General features: G+C 41.5%; 1 protein-coding gene across 25 annotated transcripts in view, besides 1 other annotated feature; it reads left to right on the forward strand.

Moving 5' to 3' along the window:
* AUTS2 (activator of transcription and developmental regulator AUTS2) overlaps positions 1-24,563 on the forward strand; it is a 1,195,032-nt gene that overhangs the window by 744,485 nt on the left and 425,984 nt on the right. The window lies entirely within an intron of this gene.
* Positions 5,782-6,281: an enhancer, noted in NCBI's record as "H3K4me1 hESC enhancer chr7:69813727-69814226 (GRCh37/hg19 assembly coordinates)". NCBI's record gives its function as "activates a minimal SCP1, AML or CMV promoter by ChIP-STARR-seq in naive and primed H9 embryonic stem cells {active_cell/tissue: H9 hESC(naive and primed)}" and the evidence as "EXISTENCE:reporter gene assay evidence [ECO:0000049][PMID:30033119]".

The following is a 24,563-nucleotide window of genomic DNA, read 5'->3' on the forward strand; positions in this document are numbered from 1 at the left end:
ATTGTTTCTAAGAAAGGAGGTGGCCAGAATCAGTAAATTTAAGCTCATTTGTGGAAGCTTCCAAATCTCAAACCTAGGGCAGTATTGAACACCTCTCCAAAAAGTCAGATTAAGTATTTGCAAATGGCTTCAACAAACTCCCTCTCTATGAAATTTTAATTATAGTTGATTAAATATTCACTTTAATCATCTTAATTAATGATATTTGACAAATATTTTAGCTTTGCTTATGATATTCACTTGCTCTGTCAGAACTCTCCAGTTCACACTGAAAGGGTAAAGTTAACAACCTGGACAGACAGGCCCATCATGTGTGTTATGACCTATCTGGTTTCCTACTCGCATGGTTAGAAGGCTCATTTTATTGCTTTGAACTCTGGAATTAATCCTGCTTAAAGGAGAATAGTAAGAATACTGTGGTTTTCTGCTCAACAGAATGCATGTTCATTTATTCCACAGACACTAATTGAAGGCCCATTGTGTGCTAGTAATTGTGGTAGTCACTGAGAACGCATGGATGGAAAGACACTATCTATCCCACTGGATTGTAACCTCAAGCCACTGGAACATAAACAGTTAAAAGTACTATATGATAAATCTTCTGGAAGACGGGTGATGGAATGTAAGGGAAGAAACACTAAGTGGTGGTTTCAAAACAGAAAGACTTTTAAGATGTAACATGTAAGGGAAATTTTATGGATATAAGGGAATACAAGGGAGAGTCTTAAGGGGATTACAGGATTTTGCCCGGGATAAAGAGAAGGTGGGGCATTTGTGAAGGGGATTATGTTTTCCTAATTAACTGTATTCTTGAATGTCTTTGAAGAAAGGAGTCTCTCCTTTCTTCATTTTGTAAAGCAACAGTGTGTGTTAGAGGAATTGCTGTTAGGAAAGGAATGAGGATATTTGGTGTGTAACTGTGAGTGCTGGGAAATGAAACAAAAGGCAGCCCTACCTCAGGTCCTGGAAAGGCACATAGTGGTGTGAGTGTTGCAGCCCATTGAAGCTACATCCTCAATTCTGGAAACTAACAAGAACAGCATTAGGGTGAGGCCAGAGATCCACCTAAGGTGCAAAATGTAAGGGGGCACTCACTTTGAGGGTCGTGCAGGTTCAGGATCAGTACTGACACAACCCTGAGAATGAGTGTCTCCTAAAATTGTGTGCCCTAGACACCTTACTTACGCCCTGAAACATCCCAGCCCTGGGTTTTTGTGCAGTGAATGGGCTTGAAAAGCAAGTAGATAAGAATCTGAACCATGGAAATATGGCAGACATGGCAGAATAGAAATCAATGAGACCTATTTGCAAGGTAAAGTCAAGAGAACCTAGGGCAGAAAAAAATACGAGGCATGAGAGAGGGGACCCTAATTGTCCTGTCACTGAATTCTGGGGATCTTTTCTATTGCCTGATACTGACTTTTCTCCAATTTCTCATATTCCTCAGCTCCTGCCCTGTCCTGAAGGTCATGCCCAGTTCAAATTCAGCCCTTACCTCTTTGCTAAGTCCCATGCCCTCAACCTTGTTTTCAGAGAAGGCCATGAGAACTGGAGTTTTTAAAATGTCCAACTCTAGATAGATCTGCTTTACTGAGTGGTCTTAACACATTCAGAGAACTGCATTCTTCTTGGCTCTCTAAATTCAGTGACCTTATTTTAAAAGATGATCAACATGGGTTAGAACCTTTTGAGGATTAGGAGACATTTTAGCAAGTTTATCAAGAATAAGCAAAGATGACATTTGGCTAGCAGTATGTCTCCCCCACCCCATCCTGCAAAACCATTTTTTTTGGAGTGAAGCTTTTCCATTTGACAAGTTTAGAATTACCAATACTGCTTGCAACTCCTTCCTTACTCCAAACTCTGGGATGTTTTCAGGAGGGACTCTTTTCTTCAAAGGCATCCAAGAATATAGTTAATTAGGAAAACATGCAAGAAAAGACATCTTGGCTCCTCTGGCCGCCTGTTGTACTCTTCCAGCATATGCTATTACTTGTCTCAGATAAGTAGACAGGTGGCTGTTTGCAAAGCAGGGTCCAATGTGCCTTTGACTCAGAGAAGTTTGGAAACAAAGCCCTCTGTATAATAAGCTTCTCACTGTATGCTGACGTCTTCTGATCTTGCCTATTCCCCATTACCTACAGTCTGAAAGAATTTTGTAGGGAGTGTGTGGTATTCTGCAGAAGGCTATTGTAGCATAACTTAGACTTAGCCGGCATTTATTGGGCTTAGAATCACAAAATCTCAAGATTGGGTGACTACTGGATGGTTATCTAATCCAACTTCCCTCCAGAAAGTCTCCCATACAGTTTTTCCCGCAAAGTGGCCCTCGAGCCATAACTTCCTATGACAGAGTGCTTACTGCCTCTTTGTTCAACGCTGGTGAAACCTCAGTGATACTTATAAGTTAACTTTCATTCCTTCAGCATTCTTCTCTTTAGTGTTAATTTCTTTGATGGTGGTACCACTTTCCAACTTTTATATGTGGCCTCTTAAAATCAGCTTACCCAGAGAAACTTCCTGCCTAGCTCCTGATTTATGTAGCTTCTCACCACCATGCCCTTTCTCCCTTCTTATAGGGGCAGTTTCACAATTTTGAAGCTCCTTGATTCCCTTGAGCCATTGTCCTTTCCAAAACTTGTCACTATGAAAAGTAGACTATGTTTTAGCCTTTGAACTATAAAATCTGCCTTTCAGTAAGCTTAGCTCCATATTTTGAGGTCTCTAGATCCCCCCTTAGTATGCATCATGAGACTTGTATTACTCGCCAAGACTCTCATGACTTTCTTCAAGCATTCAGTTTTGTCTAAGAAGCCATCGTTTGATCCAGAATGGAGTAGACCTAATTATATCTCCTGTTTTTTTGGACTTGAAATTTACTTCAAGCCTGATGATAACCTGTTGGTCAGATGCTCTGCCATTAACTAAATGACACCATCAGCAAATATCCAGATAGTTGAGGTCCCAGTGTCCTGAATCTGTGGTTTTATAATCTATGTCAGAAGTCTATCATTTTTTTTTTCACCTGGCTGTCATCTGGTATATTCTCAAAAGGATATCACTTTTCTTCTTATCCAGGTACGTGCCAGTGTGCTTCATCTCTCATGCTCATGGATCTCCATGCAAATTGATCTGCTTTTCCAAAAACTATTTATTAAGCATTATTATGTGTCTGGTACTATGTCAGGTGGTAGAGCTACAGTGGTGAGCAATGGAAATCTACGTGTTTTTTGACATATGACACTGCTTTTCCACAATACCTTTCCCACCTTAAATCCTATCCCATGAGCCTGGGTGATACTCAGGAGATTATTTTTATCATGTCTCTAAAAATCTCTGCTTATTTTATAACTGATGATACATAGACATCTAAAGAGATGAGGGCCTCACACAGGGATTGGCCATGAGAGAAGCTTTCAGTGCTGCGATCTGAGGCCAGTCTGATCTGACACCCTCTTAAAGGCTTTCAAGTATAGGCCACTGGGTTCCACATCCCATACCTCTTACCTCCATTGTGGCTAGTTTCTCATTTGCGGAGGAGGTTAGAGATGTTACTCTCTTCCCCTCCACCTTCAGTGTAAATTTCTCTTAATCAGGTCAGCTCACCTCCCCAGGCAAGCAAACACATGTCTCTCTGTCTTCCTGAGCTACCCCCGGGAAAGTCTGCATTATTTTAGTACCATAGACACAGTCTAGAAATCTGATTCCTATGGGTTGACAACATCCTCATGACAAACCCTTCACCTACCACATCATCTTATTTTTATAATCACCGAACTTTGTTAGGATGAAGAACTAGAGCACTCACCAGGCACCCAACTCTGCGCCAGGCTCCATGGTCCCCAAATGAAGCTTCCTAGGTCTCTTGTGTCCAAGCCATTCCCCTCACGTGAAACAACATGAATAGGTAGAGATAAGTGGCTTTGTGACTTGGAACAGACAGTAGCCCAAGAAGACCACATGCCTCCCTTCTGGCCACGTGAACTACATGAAGCAGTCTCCTTTCTGTTCAGCCAAGAGTCCGTGCCATCTCAGTGCTTGTTTTCCTTCCTGTCCCTTTATCTGGCTCTGTGCATGACTGTTTGAGCAGCCTGTGTCTTCTCCTTCCAGCCACACAGAGTACTGGTAACTTCTCACAGGATATTGCGGTGTGCCTCCGTTTACACTGTCTCTTCTTCCTGGATGCTTTCCTCTATCCCCTGCAATCACTTCTTACTTACCTGAAACTTACTTCTTGTATTACTGCTTAATGACAGCTTAACTTCCATGATACCTCCCCACCTCCTTCTGCTCAATTCTAGGTTTGAGTATGTGCCTTCACTAAGTCCTCCCATAATACCTAAGCAGGTCTCTATCACAGTCCATACATTGTTTCCTGTGTGTGTCTGTTTCTTCCATTAGACTATAATTTCCTTGAGGACTGCTCTTGTGCCTCACTCATCTTTGTGAGTACAGTGCCAAGCATACAGTAGATGCTATTTAATGAAGGTGGGCATGTATGGGTGAATATTCCCAGTGTTTCAGGATGTTTTTTCTTTCTCCTCTGGCTTTTCTATTCTCTGCTCACCTGGAATGAGAGCGGATAAAATAATACAGACAGGAAACCAGGAAGCAGAAGAGAACCCCAGCCACCTACCTACACTTCCCCCTCTTAGATGCCCTGCAACAGAGATCTGTCCTGGGGACTCCACCTCATCTTTGCCAGCGGTGTGCAGCTGGCTTCCTAAAATCCACCCAGAGTAGGGGTTAGCTTGTCAGAAAAATACAAATTGGATGTCTTCTGCAGGGCTTTGCACAGTCCCCTCAGCACCCACACTTCTGTGTCAGGGAGGGGATGCAGGGACACATCTCCTTCTACCCTCTGGGAGACTTGTAGTCTACGGCTCCAGGAGATGACTCCCTGGCCTAGAGGACTGTATCCTTAAACCACTCTCTGCTCTGCTGGCTTATGTCATCCTCCTGCTCCTTTGGGTAGAAGTTCTAGAGTCTTATCCACAAATTGTCACCAGTTATAGGCTTGAGTAGGCACTAAATATGAAACATGAATAATGACATGAGCCAGCAGAGCAGAGAGTGGTTTAAGAGTGGTTTAAGGGTCAGAGGGAAGGGAAATGAAAGCCTTGGAGGATTTCAGATTCACTCACTCTTCTTTACCTTATAGCCTGTGCTGCAAAGTCAGAGTAAAGAAACTTCTGTTCTGCCTCATTGCATCCCCACCACAACAGGCTGTAAGCAGGAGCTACTCCATGTTTTAATATAAGGAAACTGAGGCCCCAAAAATTAAAAATAACTTTATAGTACCAGCTAGCCATTGGCAAAACACGATTATACATTCAGATTTGTCCAATTGTTTCCCCATGTAAATGAGACCACAGATTAAAATTATTATTGTCAATTAAGAAAAAATAAAAGAAACCCCTGAAAAGAGGATCTGATATGTGTCTAACTACCTTTAAATCTCCTTGAGATAAATTATAAGGTGTTGTTTCTATTGAGCCACCCCCATCACCAGTTTCTCACAATTCAGTGCTCAGCAGGCAGTGGCTACTCAAGAATTCCAGCTGGCTGGGCACGGTGGCTCACGCCTGTAATCCCAGCACTTTGGGAGGCCGAGGCGGGTGGATCACAAGGTCAGGAGATCGAGACCATCCTGGCTAACACGGTGAAACCCCGTCTCTACTAAAAAATACAAAAAAAAAAATTAGCCAGGCGAGGTGGCGGGCGCCTGTAGTCCCAGCTGCTAGGGAGGCTGAGGCAGGAGAATGGCGTGAACCCCGGGAGGCGTTGCTTGCAGTGAGCCGAGATCATGCCACTGCACTCCAGCCTGGGCGACAGAGCGAGACTCCGTCTCAAAAAAACAAAAAACAAAAAAAGAATTCCAGCTAAGTGGCAGTGAACTAATGAGATTTCATCACAGAGCATGGTGAACGCTTTTCTAAGGTCTAAATATGTGCTCTATAGTTGTCATGGAGGGCCAAAGAAATGAAGAAAATAAAGAACAATATTAGTCTTAAGAACTTTTTTAAATAACAAAAATGACTGAGTTACTAAGGTCAGGAACTATTCTAATGCTTTTATACTCATCTCATCTAATTGCTCCAAACCCCATATGAAGTAGACACTACTACTACTATCATGACCCATTTTACAAATGAACAAACTGAGTCTTGAAGAAGCTAAGTAACTTGCCAAAGCACATCCCAGACTTACAGGCAGTCTGGCTCAGAGACCTCTGCTCACAGACACTCCTCTTCCTGGGTCTAATTCAAGAGGGGTGACGTGCGACTTAGAGCAGCCTGTGGGCTTAGTGATTCTGCTGCTTGGTGCACAGCAAGACAGACCATAATCAGCACTAGAATAATAGAATTTTTATAAGTGATTAAAGTAAAACCAGGATTTAGAGATTGAGAGTTGATTGTTAAAGGATAAATGATATTTGGAACATCTTACTGGATTTGATTAAAGTGAAATTCAAAAACCATCACAAAGAGAATGATTATTTACCAGTGGTACTTGAAGGACTTTTTTTGTGGCTTAAGTCATTGGCACTCCAATGCTTAAAATCTCTGTGCTCAAAACCAGAATGTAATTGATCCTTAGAAAATCAGAGGTTAGCGCCTTCTTTGGCAAGCTACTTCTGAGCTTTGTTACACTGTAACATAATCATCCTTTGAAGACTGAGATCTGGTTTTCCAGGCTTTTTTTTTTTTCTTCACATGGTGCCTGGTATCTTCTCTTGAACATAATAGATACTTTGAGATGGGTGGACAAACCGAAGTCATTTTATATTGCTTTAGGGGCTCTGAATTTAAGAAAGAGTTGATTTCTGAAAGAAACATAATAGCAAAGATTACTTAAACACAAAAATCTCATTTCTGTTCTTAATCAGCTGGACGTCAATACCCAGGTTCCAGTCCAAGTGTCACACTGTGCCTCTATAAGTTAATCTTTTCTGGAAGGGAAACCAAATATGAAATAGTATCAAGAACTGGGACAGTGTTGGAACACCCTGCATGTCCTCTGTTGGCCACTACAAAAGGTTAAACAACAGGAGAGGCTGGATTAGGGTTTGTGTTTGGAAGTGCATTTGAGGCAAGCTTGACAGTTAAGCTCATGGCCAGTACTACATGCCACAGCAAGAGGACAATAGGAGATTTAAAAGTGTGAGCAGGCTGTGGCCAAATGCTGGAATTCATGGGCTAAGTAGATGAAGAGTGGATGGAGTTAACTAGTAAACAAGTTTCATGGTCCTTGAAGAGACCTATTTTTTTTTATGGTATGAATTTAAGATGTACAACATAATGTTTTGATATACATACAATTAGTGAAATAGCGATAATTTGATATTTCATATATATACCAAAATGATTACTCTGGGTGTATTATTTCCTTCTCATGCTGCTAATAAACAAATACCTGAGACTGGGTAATTTATAAAGAAAAAGAGGTTTAATGGACTCAGTTGCACATGGCTGGGGAGGCCTCACAATCATGGCACAAGGTGCGAAGGAGGTGCAAAAGTACGTCTTACATGGTGGCAGGCAAGGGACCATGTGCAGAGTTTATAAAACCATCAGCTCTCCTGAGACTTATTCACTATCACGAGAGCAGCACAGGAAAAACCCACCCTCATGATTCAGTTACCTCCCACCTGGTCCCTCCCATGACACATGGGAGCTACAATTCAAGATGAGATTTGGGTGGGGACACAGCCAAACCATATCAACAGGGAAGCAATTTAACATATCTGTCACCTTCCATATTTACCCTTTTTATGTGGCAAGACCACCTAAAATTTACTCTCCTGGCAAATTTTCAGTCTACAATATTATTAACTAGAGTCCTCCTGCCCTACATTAGATCTCTAGACTTAACTGCAAGTTTCTGCTCTTTGACCTATATCTGCCCATTTCCTCCTCCTCCCTACCCCTGGTAACCGCCATTGTGTTTTTTGTTTCTATGTCTTTGACTGTTGTTTTTTAGATGCCATATATGAGTGAGATCATGCAGTACTTTTTTTTTCTGTGTCTGGCTTATTTCACTTATCATCGTGTTCTCCATGTTGTTGCAAATGACAGGATTTTGTCTTCTTCTTTTTTTTTTTTTTTTTAGATGGAGTCTCGCTCTGTCACCCAGGCTGGAGTGCAATGGCACAATCTCGGCTCACTGCAACCTCCGCCTTCCAGGCTCAAGCGATTCTCCTTCCTCAGCCTCCCGAATAGCTGGGATTACAGGCGTGCGCCAATACGCCTGGCTAATTTTTGTATTTTTTTTAGTAGAGATGGGGTTTCACCATGTAGGCCAGGCTGGTCTCGAACTCCTGACCTCTGGCGATCCACCCGCCTCAGCCTCCCAAAGTGTCTGGATTATAGGCGTGAGGCACCGCGCCCAGCCGATTTCCTTCTTTTTTAAGGAGATGTATATGTGTACACACACACTACAGCACATTATCACATTTTCTTTATCTATTCATCCATTGATGGACACTTGGTTGATTTCCTATCTTGGTTATTGTGAATAGTGCTGCAGTGAACATGGGGGTGCAGGTATCTCTTCAAGATGTTAATTTCATTTTCTTTGGAGGGATTGCTGTGTTGTATGGTATTCTATTTTTAAATTTTGGTGGGGTCTTCATACTGGTTTTCACAATAGCTATACCAACTTACATTCCTCCTAACAGTATACAAGTACCTTTTTCTCCACAACCTTACCACATAAGTGTTGACTTTTTCTTTTTCTTTTTTCTTTTTTTTCTTTTTTGATACGAAGTCTTGCTCTGTTGCCCAGGCTGGCGTGCAGTGGTGTGATCTCGGCTTACTGCAAACTCCGCCTCCCAGGTTCAGGTGATTCTTGTGCCTCAGCCTCCCACGTAGCTGGGATTACAGGTGCCTGCTAGCACACCCAACTAATTTTTGTATTTTTAGTAGAGACAGTGGTTTCACCATGTTAGCCAGGCTGGTCTCGAACTCCTGACCTCAGGTGATCCACCTGTTTCGGCCTCCCAAAATGCTGGGATTACAGGCATGAGCTACCAGGCCCAGCCTTGACCATTATTTTTAATAGCTAACAATTATTGAGGGCTTACCATTTCTATGAGTCTAAGCACTTTACAAATATTTAATCTTCATAACAATCTCTGACATAGATACTACTGTTAATCCCATCACACATACTAAAAAACTGAGGCACAAGGAGTTTAAGGAACTCGCTCAAAATGTCACAATTAGTAAGTCATGAAGCCAGCCAGAACGCATGCTCTTAACCCCTGCACTGTTCTGCCAACTCTTTGGAGTGGTTTGTTTCAGTTGTCAGTTTTTGTTTGCTGTCTCTGAAAATCCTTGCTCTTACAGTGTCAGCCAGAGTCCTGCATTGATCACATGGCCTAACTTGCCTCTCTCAGTACAGTGACTTTTTAATCTTCGGCTGCAATCCTTTTTTTCCTAGACTGTAAACTCCCTGAGGGTAGAAAGTCTGTCTCATTCATTTGTGCCCATTTTAATGAATGTTGAAAGGGAGCGTCAGGAGGGGTTATCTAGATGCCTGTGGATCTAGATTATTCATCATCCACTGGGATCTTTATTGGTGTTCCTTGTCCCCAAGGAGGGAGTCAGCAGCAACAGAAGGCAGCAGAGATCTCATCAGTGTTCATCAAACACATGTTGAGTGCCTACTACGAGGTAAACAGAACAGACGTTATCTTCTGTGCCCTCTCAGAACTTAAGGTACAGCAAAGAAACAAATGAGATAAGCACAGGTGTGATAAATGCTTGTTTAAAAAACATTTTAAATGAAATGCTTCGTTTAAAAAAAGCGAAGAGGCTGAGGTAGAGAATAATGGAGGTTGGGTGGGGTAGGACCTACTTTAGGTAGGTAGGCATGGGAAATTCCTCATCGAAGAAGTGACATTCTAAGCGAAGATTTAACCAACAAGAATGACATAGCTAAGAATGAGAAGACTGCTGGGGAAGCTCCTTGTTGGCAAAGAAAACAGCATCTGCAGAGGCTCTGAGGTTGGAAAGGCTTTGTTTCATCTGTTTAATAGTGGAATTCAGTGACACTCATTAGTTACCTCTTCACACATTCCCGCCAAACACTTGTCCCTGAGTCTGTTCTTTTTCATTAGTGGTTCCTAATCCAGTTTTCAAAACTGCTCAATATTTGGAGAGGTTTTGACCAGTTGCTCTGGAAACAGAGGCGGTTCCACCATAGCCAACAGAGTTCAGAACATAAATTGTCCATTTATATCCCCATTTGTATCTTAAGCTTAGCTTGCATAGGACTCAGCAAAGCAATATGTCAAATTCCTTATATTTGTTATATCTCTTTTTTCACTGACTCAAAGCATGAAAAATTTGAAATTAATAAAACAATTTTTTAGATGATCAGAGATTCTTTTTTCTAAAATTTTCTAAATACTATGGTTGTGTCCCTTAACCACAGGCATGGTGGTTTCACTGCATTTTACTCAAGAGAAGATTGCTTACAAATATCACACAGGAGACCTTTCTAGTCTCCTGCAGGAGGGTGGCTGACCCAGGGAACCTCCAGGCAAGCAGGACATATGCCAAGTATCCTACATGTGGACAGTGTCTAACTTGATCCGATCTTTCTCCTTCCCCATGTTTTAGTTAAGTCCCCTGAAAGCCCCCATTACCCACTGTTCATAAAGGGTCTGTAAATTATTTAAGAGAAGGAAACACAGCCTTTATCCCATCGGATTTTTCCTCTCAATCACTTGAGTCTTTTCTCTGAGCACACACACATGGCCCAGACTCACTGTCAGGGGAGATGTAATGCCAGCATCTGGTGTTAATATCTATTGTTGACATTTTGGGAATGAGAACATGAGCTGTTAGGGAAGATGTTTGCTTGTACCTAATTAATGTCCCATTGTATCCTCTCTTGTTGTCAGCTCTGCCTCACCATCCTGCCTTGGCATTTTCTTTTACTGGCTAACTTTAAAAGTTAATTATTTCTCTGTTGAATGTTAAATGCCACCGGTTTTTAATGCCGTTCCTTGGTGTGAGTTATTAGTTATCAAAAATCAAAATGATCTGTGCAATTATCAGCTCTTTACCTAAAGCCACTGTTCTTGCTAATCGCGTAAAGTGTGATAGCATTTGCTGATGTCTGGCAACATGGATCTTTCTAGCAGATTTAAGTTTCTCACTCAGTACATTCCTGTCCCTGTCTGGCTTTCCTTGTGGAGATCAGATACAAAGTCCTGGTACATCATCTAATGGAAACAATTACTGACAGGGCCAAGTCTTCAAGGCCCATTTTGCTTGAATCTCAAATCACTGTTAAAATTCATTTGGCAACTCCAATAAGTACAGAGAGTAATGAGGAACTTCAAATAGAATATTTCCTAATAGCTTTCGTAAAACATGTCTTGGTAGGAGATCACAACTCTTTCTTTACTTGAGATTGGTTTATAAAAATAATAGTACAAGTTCCAACTAACAGCTACTAAGTGCATACTCTGTGCCAGGCTTTGTCATTAGCTTTTCGCATGGATTATCTTAATCCTCTCAACAATCCTGTGAGGTAAAGTCTTATTATTATTCCCAACTTAAAGATGAGCAATTTGAAGACTAAAGACTTGAGTAATTAATGCAGCATCACATGGCTGGTAAGTCATGGGCCAGGATCCCCAGCCAGCAGTCACTGCAGAGCTGCACTGTCCCAGGCAGTGACTGTGACTCACACGTGGCTACTGAGCACTTGAAATGGGGTGAGTCCAAATGAGATGGGCCATAAGTGTAAAACCTACGCCCTGTTCCTAAGCTTTAGTCAATAAAATAGCGTAAAATGTCTCGTTAAGAATGTGTTCATACCAATTACATGTTGAAGTGATAATATTTTGGATGCATTGAGTTACAGGAAATATGTTATTAAAATTAACTTTTTGTTTCTTTTTCACTTCTTTAATGTGGCTACTAGAAAATTTTAAATTTCCTGTACTGCTTGCCTTATATTTCTATTAGAAAGGGCTGCTGTGTGTGTGTGTGTGTGTATGTATGGGTGTGTGTGTGTATGGGTGTGTGTGTATGTATGTGTGTGTGTATGGGTGTGTGTGTATGTATGTGTGTGTGTGTATGTATGGGTGTGTGTGTATATATGTGTGCGTGTGTGTGTATGTATGGGTGTGTGTGTGTGTGTGTGTATATATACGGAGAGAGATTTCTGGAGTTTTTCTTGTCTTAACGAGTTTCCGATCCTAAACTATTGAGGAATAGGCACAAATTTCTGACCCTTCCTCCCCTTTCTGGTTGTTTCACTTCCAGAAATCCGACAGAAAGTACAAATTTTTACATCTGAGTCTCTACCAAGAGCCCATCTGTTGGCTCTTCTCAAGTATGGAAAGATGAAACACTGACATGCCAGGCATTAACGAGATCAAAAGCAGGGCTAATGACAGAAATGTGGCTGCTGTTAAAGTGTCTCCAGAGGATTATCGGGGAGGACTTTTTGTTCTCCTTACGGCGACCCCCTCAAATGTCTTCCAGAGAGTGCCTCTCAGTTCCAGTTCCTGAAGTCCTCCTTTGCCTTCCTTTCCAATCCTTGTCCACCACTTTCCTGGTCCACCTCCCTCTCTCTCCTGGACGCCCATCTCTGGGGTGTCTGTGCAGCTGAGGCGGCCCCTCTGTTAAGCACTTCTGACACGAGGCAGGTCTTTTTTCCCTGCCAGTGAGAGCAGAGTGTATAATGGTGTTGCCCTCCACCGGGGATCTTTGAGAAGCTTTATGGCTCTAGCAGACATGGGGGAACCAATCACAGGCACTGCAGCTGATATATGACACTAATATAGGGTTCACTTTTATTCTCAACCTAAAAAAAGATAGATTGTTCCAAGTTTAGACAGGCTGTAAAATCATGTGCTTCTGGAACCATGCTGCCTTACCCCTGGGACCACTGTAATTGCTTTACATCTGTACAAAGGTTCCTTGTAATCGGGCTTTCTGCCTTCATTTGTCTTCTTTTCAGCCTCTTAGTAAAGACCTTAATTGGTCTTAGTGGGGCTTTTTTCAGTTAGTGCAACTGTACCTTTAGGGCTGAACAAGTACCAGACACTACCTGCGGGGAGAAGTGAGGAGATGGGAAAGACATCAATACTCCTTTACCTTTAACAGTTTAATTAATGTGCTCAGAACAAGGAGCAGTTTGAAGAAATTTTGGCTCCTCTGGGACCCTGCTACAGATCAGACATAACTAGGGTTAGGTGGAATTTTCTAGATTTCTTTCCTGCTTCAGTCTCTGTGAACACTCATTAGCCTCATAATTGTCTCACAGTAAACTGCTGTATCAAGTTTCAGTCTGTCTCTTTGGAGGATCAAGTTGCTTTATATCAATAGACTGAAGTACTAGGGGATGTGTGTGAAGGGAAGTAGCCTCTAATTTCTTCTGTTTCTTAGCTACTAATTATTTAATAATACATTTTATTGCCTATTAAAATGTGGCATAACTTGCTTGTCAGCAAAACTAGATGGAACCTAATCATTTGAGGAGAAGGATAATTGGCACTTGTACAGATGGCTTTTATTGCCAGTTGGGTTTGTTATTGCAGATAGAATTCCTTGCCAGGTTTCTTGGTTCTGTTTGTGGGCTGGTCAGTGTTGTGAGGGGGTTACTTACTGTATTACAACCCAGGCGGTTAAATGTGGTATTATTGCAAATGCAGTGTGTACTCAGTTATAGATCATAAAGGCTTCTGCTGTGTAGGTACTTTTTTTCTTCTCCTCCCCCCACCTCCCCACCCCTGGTTTTAAAGGACCCTAGTGAGTTTTGTACCACACTGAAAATTACCTTATGTGCTGGAAAATGCATCAGTGGAGACTTTGTTTAAACAAAGGGCGTTTTTATGATGGATAGAAGTGGCCAAAACTTCTGGATTTCCATCTAGTAAAAATTTGTGTAGGAAAATTGGACCAGTCCCAGTTCCTTAGTAGAATTTCACGAAGGTTTTCCTGTTGCTTCAAAATGACCCCTTGAGGAATGTTGTATAAATTCCAGAAAATTGCTCCCAATGTTTCCTGGAGCACATTAAAAAATGAAGGAGACACATTGTGTGTGGGATAGTTTGGTAACAGAATTAGTTCACTGGGTAGAACAGAGGGGATCCCAGGTAGTTGGGCTCTAAGTGGGAAGCGTTGGCCAACATTTGTAACTGGAGGCAGATTTGGCAGGCACTTGGGTAAGGAACATTTTGGTGGTAATGAAGTAGGCAGGAACAAACCGCGCAGGGGAAGAATGCTTCACACTGCCAGGCTTTGTGGCCCAGAGCCTAGCATTCTCATCCCCAGGTGCCCAGCTCCTCTGCCTTCCCAAGGTGCTCAAGTTTGCTTTCTACTCAGATATGGCCCAGTTTCACTGGCAACCACCTCCCTTATTTGTTGAAAGTATGGCTTGTGTTCTGACCCAAGAGAGCCATTTAAAACCTATAATGATGTCCATCTTTGTACGTTTTCTGGGTCCCATCTTCCCATCCATTACTACTTTGTCATTGTTCTTATGTCTCATAGTTGAACTCCTGAGGTCTAATTGTGCCAGAACAACATGTCTCCCATCTGTCTGGCAACTCTCTTGGCAACTGCATTCCTCTTCCCTTGAAAGAGGTACACACTCTTGACCCCTCCCTTCCAAAAGCCTCAGTGAAGACCTATGTGTTTTACCTGTAAACGCACGGCCTTTTTAAGTGTGGAAGGGAATGTCTAGACTTGATACTTTAGAAAATCATTATGAAGTAAGCTTGACGTAGGTAGCTTTGTTTCTTAGGGGTTGAACTTGGGAATTACTGTAATTTAATACCTACAATAAATGTGTTAAAATAGGGAAGAAAGCCAATTCTGAGGTTTTGTGTGTTATATGAAGGGTGTGTGTTATGCATCGTCATTAAATTTTCTTAAGCAAAAGCTACTAGCAAGTGGAAGCCAATTTAAAAGGTGTATATTGGAACCAGAACATGTAGCCAGAAACTGGCTTGGGAGGTGCAAATCCTTTAGACCATTGAGAGCATGGAGGTTGGCGAGACCTAGAATGTCTATAACCTTAGTGGTCACAGTCTACAGTCCACTCCGGATGACGTGGGGCTATGGATGAGCAGATGGGTGGGTATGTGTTGGGGACACGATTTTGGACAACGTTACATCTGTTGATTTCTTTCTGTCCTGTAGTTGACTCTTCTGAGTTTATTTGTAAATCACCAGTTATGCCAATAGTATTTTCTTATCAGCCCTCACCCTGGTAACTTTTCTCTTGTTGATCTAGATGGACAGACCCAAATGGAGGGAAAGGATTTTAAACAGTATGCCATTCTTTATTAAATGAAGCACCATTAAAACTACTTCCATCTCTGAGTTTCCTTTTTCCAGGCCCACGCCTAACATTTGCAAGGCAAGCATACACATGGAGGCCCAGCTTACTTCTCTTCACTTCTCTTTCCAGCACCATGAGGAGCTTTGCTCCTCACCTCACTCACTCCATACATCCAAGCTCCACCCATACTTTTTGCCCTCACCAGCCCAGTAAACAGCTGCCTGTTGACCACCCTCAAGCCTATAGGTGTGTGTACCAACAGCATGGCCTGCCCTTGGGAGGATGGCTTCCAGGGTAGGAACCTGCCTATGCAGGCCCTAGAAGCAGCTTAGGCCATCTGGGAAGAGGAGTCCTGTCTCCTTGGTGTGCACCACATGGTCCTAAGGGGGAATGTGTCAGCTAGGTGGGCCCATCCCCACGACTTCATGGATTCTTGCCCCATGTGGAGGGACACAGCTGGAGGGGCCAAGAAGGATCCCCTTATGCATGGTCTCAAGGCAGGGGCTGGATCTAACCTGTATTGCCTCTGCCTTTTCATTTCAGTCTTCATAACCTCACACTTCATGTCCTGCAAAAATAAAATGAAATAAAATGGATCCAGCTCTCCTTCAGAAAAGCTAAATGGATGAGCTAGTTAACTCATCAGTGTCTGCGGACACAAGGTGTGAAGGCTTAGTCTTTAGATTCAATACTGGAAAGTCAGCTGGGGTCTTGTGCAAAAGATGTGATGCATTTTGTGTAAGAAGTCTGTTTTTTCCATTAGCATTTAAAGTATAGCATACTGCTAACCAGACACAAGGAATGCTCTACTATACAGTGAAAGAACTATGCAAGGGAAAATTGCAGCTGAAGGACCAAATTAGGAATGTTTTCAATTTCAAGAGTCCAGAGAAGAAACAAAGCATTATATTGACATAGTTTGAACAAAGTAAAGCACTTCGAACCTTGCTAACATTTTTAAATACACCTTTGTTAAACCTCTTTAAAGAATGACGATAATTGCGTTGTTGTTGTTAGTATTCCTAATGTCCAAAGGGTTGCTGTAATTTACTCTCCCTTCAAATTTGAATATGGTTCATAGGCTTCTGTCTTAGTCCATTTCATGTTGCCATAACAGAATACCTGACACTGGGTAATTTATAAATAAAAGAGGTTATTTAGTACAAGGTTCTGCAGGCTAGGAAGTTCAAGGGGCGTGGCACTGGCATCTGCTTGGCTTCTGGTGAGGGCCACATGCTGGTCAAAACATGGCAGAGAAGGTCAAAGGGGAAGTGGACACGGGTGAAGAAACCCAAGGGGCGCCCTTGCTTTATCTCAGCCGGCTCTTGAGGGATCTAATCCATTCCCTGGAGAGTGAGAACTTACTCACTTCCAAGGAGAGTGTTCATCTATTCTTGAGGGATCTGCTTCCAGGACCCAAAAGCCTCCCACTACACCCCACCTCCCAACACTGCCACACTGGGGATTAAATTTCCACGTGAGTTTTGGTGGAGACAAACCACATCCAAAACACAGCAGCTTCTAAAATTAGGTTAAGAGGACACAAACTCTATCCAGAAGCCAATGTAGTATGTGTTTTCTATTGTGCTGCTACCCAAATTTTAACAATGAGAATTCTGACTTTGATGTGGCAGTGATAGTCCTTAAAGTATTTGAAGGTCTTTGTCAGTTGCCACTTATTTTTGTGTAGCAGAAGCACGGGTTTTTATGATTTTGATCTTCCTTTAAAAAGATGTAGGTTAATTATTCTGTCATCTTTATCTGACAGACAATGGCTAATATTGTTTATTGTGTAAATGAGACGCTTTACTTTCAAAGAATGCTAATATTGGCTTTGAAAGGAAAAAATAAGCAAGTATCTTTTTTTTAAAGAAAAACAGTCTCACTCTGTCACCCAGGCTGGAGTGCAGTGGTGCGATCATAGCTCACTGGAGCCTCAACCTCCTGGGCTCAGGCAATCCTCTCACTTCAGCCTCCTGAGTAGCTGGGACTAGGTACATCCACCATGCCCAGCTAAGTTTTAAACTTTTTTTCTAGGGATGGGAGCCTCACTTGGGATATAGAAACCCCTAGTGTTGTCCAGGCTGGTCTCAAACTCCTGGCCTCAAGTGATCTGTCGTCTCCCAAAGTGCTGGGACTTGAGGCATGAGCCACTAAGCTCGGCCTAAGCAAGTATCTTTAAATGGGTCCTTGTTAGTCAGCTTTTTTCATTATCTCAAGAGAGGAGAGTATTAGGAGAGCACATTTTCAGACACACTAGAAGACAACAATAATACCTGTGACAGGTGTATGACCCCGGCTCATGGTGGCCTTCTCACTCACCTGACTCAAAGTTGGGCAGCGGGACTAATTTTACATAATCTTAAATCTTATAAATGACTTTCTGCTCTCTTTTCCTTACACCACTGATTTCTCTTCCCTGGCACCCTTGCTAGTGAGATAAAACAGGGAACAGAGCCAGGACCAGTGAGCTGCCATGTGGAGTGCTGCATCTCCCTGAAGGCTGACCGTGAGCTGTGTTCATGAAGGACTCATTGTCACATTCTACCCAGAGGCCTCTAAGCTGCTCTTTTCTGGAGTTTAAGCCTCATTCTTAGGACATGCCGTGAATTTGCTCTCCAAAATGATTCCACACACAAAAGTCCTCTCTCTATAAGCCCTACCAGCATTAGCCAGAGTCCTCCTGGTATTCTTTCTCATCTCCACCTGGGTTAAAAAGTGAGTGTGTAGCAGATTTGTTTAAAAGGGTCCTCAGCTACACCCAGCCTCCCATATAAAAATCGATTCTTGGCCAGGCGCGGTGGCTCACGCGTGTAATCCCAGCACTTTGGGAGGCCGAGGTGGGCGGATCATGAGGTCAGGAGATCAAAACCACAGTGAAACCCTGTCTCTACTAAAAATACAAAAAATTAGCTGGGCGTGGTGGCGGACGCCCGTAGTCCCAGCTACTCGGGAGGCTGAGGCAGGAGAATGGCGTGAACACGGGAGGCGGAGCTTGCAGTGAGCCGAGATCGCGCCACTGCACTCCAGCCTGGGTAACAGAGCGAGACTCCGTCTGAAAAAAAAAAAATCGATTCTTGGAAAATCAAGTCAGATAATGACGATAGAGCAAAGTATTTTGCTCGTGTCTTTTGTTTGGCTCAGTGTTCATTTGTCATTACGCCTCAGCCTCCTTTTCTTTAAGCACTTGTTGTGATCTCCGGGCATGTGCTTATGTTCGTGACTGTTTTCCAGAGCATTGCTGGGCTGCTTAACTTTTGATGCTCCCGTCTAAATAATGACTAGGTTCCTAAGATGCCTTTACGCTTCCTAGAAGAATCTGCCACCATTTGAATTCTCTAGCAGCACCCCAAAAGTGCTAAATTATACAGTCCAAGGAGGACAGTCATCCACCAAAGAAACAAGGGTAGGATGAACAGAAAGGGAGAAAGATGTTGAATTGAGCCAATTCAGGGAGTAAGTAATACATGCTCTCTGGTTGAACTGATTTTTCATATGGCTAGGTGGCTGGGTTCTGCCTGTGACTTGTTCAACTCTGCAAGCTACTAAATAGAATAAAACTTGCTGAAATCAGAGAACTTCAAGAAGATAAGTTTTATGTATATGTATATGTATATAGGCATATATTCATATACATACCCATGCTCTCACACACTCATACACAAACTTAAAGGATTCTAGTTTAGGGTAGACTTAACCCTTTGACAGTTCAAAGAGAGAAGTTAGAGTCTACAAAGTGATTATTATGTAAACCCAACAGGGCCTTTCCTGGAAATACCACAAAAATTTCTTAGAATTGAAAAGATGACAAATGCTGATTTATGCAGAACTCGGGACTTCATTGATAGAGCACTGTCACTTACTACTTCCATCAGCAGGAATGGTTCCTTTTAACATCAGATTGGGTGTTTACATGGATGACAATTAGGGCTGGTGAAATAGTTCAAATAAAAGAAGAACCAGACCGGCATGGGGAGTGAACCTAGTTAGTTCCCAAGTATTAAATACCTGTCTTCCCTCCCTTGTCTCTCTCCTCTTCCCTTCCTTTCTCCACTTTGTTTCTCACTTCACTCCCTTTCCAGACTGTTCTTCCCTGTCAGGGAAGGCTGAACAGAGATTGAACCACACAATACATTGAGATTCTGCAGCAGAGAAGACATTCAAATCCTGAAATACTGTAGTGGGATCTGGTTTTCAAATGTTTCTTCCCCGGGAAAGTGAAACATTCCTTGCAGTCTTATAAAATAAGTATGTTCGTTGATATTTCAAGCAGGAGAAATTCATTTTAAGAAGTTGGAGTATTTATATGTGACAGGATAGTAGTTCCTCTTTCTCTCCCCCGTCCCTCCCTCCCTCTCTCCTTCCTCCCGTCCTCTCTTCCTTCCTCCCTCCCTTTCTCTCTCCTCTTTGATTTTATTTTTTAATCAGAAAGTTCTTTTTAAAGGAAGAGAAATATCAACATTGTACATTCTAACATTCCAAATGCTTCATATAGTTCCTTGTTTTATTGCTTTAAACATTTTTTCAACAGATACTTAAGGACATTTTTCAGGAGTTGTGCAAGGCATGAACACCTGGAGATACGTAAGCTACAGTGGTGAACATGGAGGTGTCCACAGTAAGCGGGAGAGAGGCAGGTACTCTGCAGTAAGAGACGGGTGTTAAAGAAAGATAAATTATCTCAATAACTCTGGAATGACATCAACCCCACTTAGAATTAAAGGAACAGAAGTCTTTGTGATAAATATTCTCTCAGTCTTTCCCTCTCTGTGTGTGTATAATATTTTTGTTAATACACAGATGGTAATCTAATGAGATGCATTTATTCCTCCTGATATTTGTAAGTACAGTGTATCTTTTCATTGTATTAACTGTTGTTCTACATCTGTTTGGATCCATTCTGTGGATTCAAAATCATGTAGATCACCAGTCTCTAATGGTTGGACATTTAGGATTTATCTGGTTTCTCATCTGAGTGTTTATTAGATGACTATTGGATTTCCTTAGACATATTCTTGGAAATAGAATTGCTATATCAAAAATTATGGAAAATCTGAAGCTATTGATATACCTAATGCTAGATGACACATTGGTGGGTGCAGCGCACCAGCATGGCACATGTATACATATGTAACTAACCTGCACAATGTGCACATGTACCCTAAAACTTAGAGTATAATATAAAAAAAAGAAAAAAAAAAAAAAAAAAATCTGAAGCTATTGATAGTCTTATTTTTAATTGCTCTAAAATAAGTATTAATTTCTTAGAAAGAATTATTTATTTAAATTAAGATATTTATGCAGATGAAATACCCAAATATTCTGGTTTGCTGTTTATTTTTATCCCATAACTCAACGGGTATTTATATAATTAATTATACTTTTCAAGTTTTTCACCCCTATGTTCTACATATATTGCTACCCATGTACTCCATACTCTATTCTTTTATGCTTCTTTGAATTCTGTAATTTAAAAAATCAAAGCAAACTAAAAACAAAACAATTCAGCTCAAATAACATTTTTTCCTAAAAACCTAAGTCTCCCAGCTTCTTTGAACTCCTCCTTCTATGGACTCTTACAGTCCTCCTCTAGCCTATTTATCTCATTTGTTAATTAGCTAGCTAGCTTTTATGCTATGTTTTATTATTAGAATCCTGTTTCTTTTAGTAGATTGCAAACTACTCAGAGCCAGAGACCATGCCTTGTGTTATTTGTGTACACAGCTAGCAGAGCACCTTACACATCATAGGAATGGGATCTATTTTAGTGATTAATCTGTTCTGTTTTTATTTCAGCAGGGTTTGTGGAAGGGCATGGCCAAGTTGATGGTGATCATATGCCTTCAAATATCATGTTGACAATTATCACGTTGATATGGAAGGAAGGGAGACTGGCTTACTAAAAAAGCATTCTAGTTGTCTAGATTGGAAAAAAATGCATTTAGTCTTTCAACTGTCTAGCACCTAGTAGGCAGTCAGTAAATAGAAGCTTAAAAAAAAAAAATTAGGCCGGGCGCAGTGGCTCACGCCTGTAATCCCAGCACTTTGGGAGGCCAAGATGGGCAGATCACGAGGTCAGGAGATAAGAGAACATCCTGGCCAACATGGTGAAACCCAGTCTCTACTAAAAATACAAAAAAAATTAGCTGGGCATGGTGGCACGTGCCTGTAGTCCCAGCTACTTGGGAAGCTGAGGCAGGAGAATTGCTTGAACCTGGGAGGCAGAGGTTGCGGTGAGCCAGGATCACGCCACTGCACTCCAGCCTGGTGACAAAGCAAGACTCTGTCTCAAAAATAAATAAATAAATAAATAAATAAATAAATAAATAAATAAATAAATAAAAATTAAAAAGGGCTCAAAAGTCCTTTTAAATAAGTATTTCAATTTAAATAAATTTATTAACTTCTTTTTACTCCATTTCCTTGTCTAGGAAAGGTGGATCAGACTCATTCATTATAAAGAACTCTTTCTGATTGAAAACATTTAGTTAACTCTCTCTGGTCATGGGCATTCACATATTGGAGACAGAAGCAGAACCAGTTGTGTAAACACTGACCAATGTGTTCAATGTAGTTTTAAGGAAATAAAATATTTTTTATTTATGGATAAGTCTTGATACTAAAATGCTAAAAACTTTTCAGTTAGCTGGCTGGCACATATCTCTCAGCAGTAATACTGCTGTAGGTAAAGTTGGCGTGCTACTTCCTTTTTCATCAGGTACAGTAGCTCAGTTTAGACATCATATGTAAATGGAGAAAGGTACTGGGAAAGCCTATTAACAAAAAGGATTAGTAGGAATTTTAAAAATTAACTGTGAAAAAAATTCTTTCTGCTCTAAGACATCATCTCTGCAGAAAAGATATTTGGTAAAGGAATAATTGGTTCAGATTTTCTCCCCTAGTATCTTTACTATCTGCCCTGAATTTCCCTCTTTACTCTTCAGAAGAGAGGGTCAGTTCCATCACCAACCCGGATACAAAGATTCTCATTTCCCGTTAGGTCATAGCATTTAGAATAATGTTTATTTTGGTATTTTTAAATATTTTGTGGTTTTATGAGGAACCAATACATGTGGTCAAGCATTCCCTTATTAAGGGAAATAAAGCTCAAGCTCAGAACAGATGGAGAAACTTGTCCATACATTTGCATGTGACGTGTGGTGTAGACCAGAAGTTTAAAGAATATTATATTCCAATGACACATATAAAGCACCTGCAATTGACAGAGAACGTAAATGGTATTTTTTAAAGGCTAGAAGTTCATAGACTCCTTCCATTCATGTCTGACATCAGCAAGCTCTTAATAATGCAGTGTGTACTTATCTATTGATCAGACCATTTAAGTAGTAAGACATGAGAAAGTAGACACTATTGTCTGGTAATTGACCATATTGGAGAGTTAAGTGTTCTGACAAGGAACTAAGTGTATTTAACCTTCAGATAAGATCAATTTTAAGATAATGCCTACTTTAGTAATGAACCAAAGCTGTTAAGAAAACTTTGTTCTTCTAAAGCAGTGCTGTTTTGATGACAACTATCATAGTTTTAATGACCAGATTTGTTCCTGACCAGATTGGTCTTCCAGGGCAACCTGGAAAGGAGTTACTAACATTCATCCTTTACTTACCATAAAAGCTCAAATGGAAAGAGACGGTGGGAAGCAGCACTGCCCAAAGAGCCACTGATTGGTTTAGGAGACATCTTTTGGGTACCTACCATAAGCCAGTCATCATGCTATATTGTAGGGCTTCCAAGTTTAGTAACATATCTGACTTCAAGAAACTTATGTTTCAGTAAAATGGTTTTCCAGTTGTATTTTATATGTTAAATCTCTAAAACCAAAGCTTATGTTAGTCCTTCATTTATTAAAGAGAGAGAGAGAGGAAGTTCTCCTATATTTGCCTCTGAGTCTTTTCCCTGTGACCTAATTGAACACCACTTGAAACCTCCTTCTCTTAGAGACAGATCCATAAGCAAATAACACATTATAAGTTATATAATACAAACATGAACAAAATTGACAAGAGAACACAAAGAAGGACGTAGCTAAAGCGGCTCTGCATTTAGGAAAGGCTTCCTAGAGGAAGCAATGTTGAACTCTTGTCTCGTTGGATGAGTAAAGCTCCCCAGAGAGAGAGAAAGTGGAGGCAGTGTGAGCAAAGCAGGTGAAGGCTGTGGTATGTTTGTGGAAGTAGGTAGCCCTACTTATATGTCTGGAATAGAGGCTTTTGAAAAGAAATAGTGAGAGATAAAACAGGAAAGTAGATTAGGCCCCAAATCCTCCAGAGGTTTTTAAGCAGAAGACTAAAAATCAGATTTGGATATCAGTGAGGTGATGCTGATAAACTCGGGGAAATCACAGGAGCTTTTTAAGAAGAGAGTTGATATTCACCTAGGGCAGCAGTAGTGACATTTGAGAAGAAGGAATGTTCCAAAGGTATTTTAGAGGTGATAGTGGATAGATTAAGTGACTGACCAAATGTGGAGAACGGAGAAACAAAAGAGGAGAGGAGGTAAGGGTAATTCTGAGACACCTAACCCCAAAGACTGCATGGGAGAGTATGTCCAATACAGGGGGAGGATTGAGTTGAAGATGAGAATAAGGAAGAATCAGTTCATTTTGGAGATGTTGAGTTTGAGGTACCTGTGGAACATCCAAGTGGAGAACTTTGGCTAACAAAGTTTGGGTCCTGAAGATAAAGGTTAGGATTAGAAATACTGATTTATGGGCTGGGCATGGTGGCTCACAGCTGTAATTCCAGCACTCTGGGTGGCTGAGATGGGCAGATCACTTAAGGCCAGGAGTTTTAGACCAGCCTCACCAACATTTGCGAAACCCCGTCTCTACTAAAAGTATAAAAATTAGCCGGGTGTGGTCTACTCAGGGGCTGAGGCACGAGAATCACTTGCACCAGGTGGCGCAGGTTGCAGTGAGCCAAGATGGTGCCACTGCTCTCCAGCCTGGGTAACAGAGCGAGAGTCTGTCTCAAAAAACAAAAAGGCCAGGCACGGTGGCTCATGCCTGTGATCCCAGCACTTTGGAAGGCCAAGGTGAGTGGATCACGAGGTCAGGAGATCGAGACCATCCTAGTTAACACGGTGAAACCCCATCTCTACTAAAAATACAAAAAATTAGCCCGGCATGGTGATGGGCGCTTGTAGTCCCAACTACTTGGGAGGCTAAGGCAGGAGAATGGCGTGAACCCATGAGGCGGAGCTTGCAGTGAGCTGAGAACGTGCCACAGCAC

The sequence above is a fragment of the Homo sapiens genome, chromosome 7 (assembly GCF_000001405.40).
Source record: "Homo sapiens chromosome 7, GRCh38.p14 Primary Assembly".
Classification (NCBI taxonomy): domain Eukaryota; kingdom Metazoa; phylum Chordata; class Mammalia; order Primates; family Hominidae; genus Homo; species Homo sapiens.